Here is a 906-nt window from a genome sequence, read left to right on the forward strand (position 1 = left end):
ACTCCAAAATAATAAAAAGTATAATAAATATATAAACCAGTAACCTTGTCATTTATTATCATCATCAAATATTATGCTGTGTATGTGCTATACTTTCATGTAACCAGCAGTGCAGCAGCTTTGTTTACACCAGCATCATCTCAAACACATGAGTGATGTGTTGTCTATGACATTAGGATAGCTACAAGGTCACTAGGTGATGGGAAATTTTCAGTTCCCTTATAATCCTATGAGAACTGCCATCATATATCTGGTCCGTTGTTGACTAAAATGTTGTTACGCAGTGCATGACTGTACATTAATCTTAACTATAGTCACCATATTGTACATCAGATCTCTAGAACAGATTTACACTGTCTAACTGCAACATACCCTCTCCCTACTTTCTCCACCTCCCAGCTCCTGGTAACCACCATTCTACTCTGCATCTATGAGCTCAACTTTTTTAGATTCCACATGTATCAGGCAGCATTTATCTTTATTTGTTTGGTTTATTTCATTCAACATAATGTCCTCCAGGTTCATCCATGTTGTCACAGATGGCAGGATTAGGCTGGGTGCGGTGGCTCACGCCTGTAATTCCAGCACTTTGGGAGTCTGAGGCGGGCAGATCAGGAGGTCAGGAGTTCAAGACCAGCCTGGCTAGCATGGTGAAACCCTGTCTCTGCTGAAAATACAAGAAATTAACCAGGTGTGGTGGTGCACGCCTGTAATCCCAGCTACTAGGGAGGTTGAGGCGGGAGAATTGCTTGAACCCAGGAGGCAGAGGTTGCAGTGAGCTGAGATCGTGCCACTCCACTCCAGCCTGGGTAACAAAGTGAGACTCTGCCTCAGAAAATATATAATAATAAATAAAATAAAATGCATGTATATACAATATTTTGTTTATTCTTTTATCTATCAAAG

General features: G+C 40.8%; 2 annotated features.

The window, feature by feature from the left end:
* Positions 482-651: an enhancer, noted in NCBI's record as "experimental_28118 CRE fragment used in MPRA reporter constructs". NCBI's record gives its function as "activates a minimal promoter by MPRAs in K562 erythroleukemia cells, with activity observed for the non-introgressed 12:30691457 or rs140383347 variant allele {active_cell/tissue: K562}" and the evidence as "EXISTENCE:reporter gene assay evidence [ECO:0000049][PMID:34662402]".
* Position 567: a transcriptional cis regulatory region, noted in NCBI's record as "Neanderthal adaptively introgressed variant 12:30691457 (GRCh37/hg19 assembly coordinates) or rs140383347 in the experimental_28118 CRE". NCBI's record gives its function as "modulates activity of the experimental_28118 enhancer by MPRAs in K562 erythroleukemia cells {active_cell/tissue: K562}" and the evidence as "EXISTENCE:reporter gene assay evidence [ECO:0000049][PMID:34662402]".

This window comes from Homo sapiens, chromosome 12 (genome assembly GCF_000001405.40).
Source record: "Homo sapiens chromosome 12, GRCh38.p14 Primary Assembly".
Classification (NCBI taxonomy): domain Eukaryota; kingdom Metazoa; phylum Chordata; class Mammalia; order Primates; family Hominidae; genus Homo; species Homo sapiens.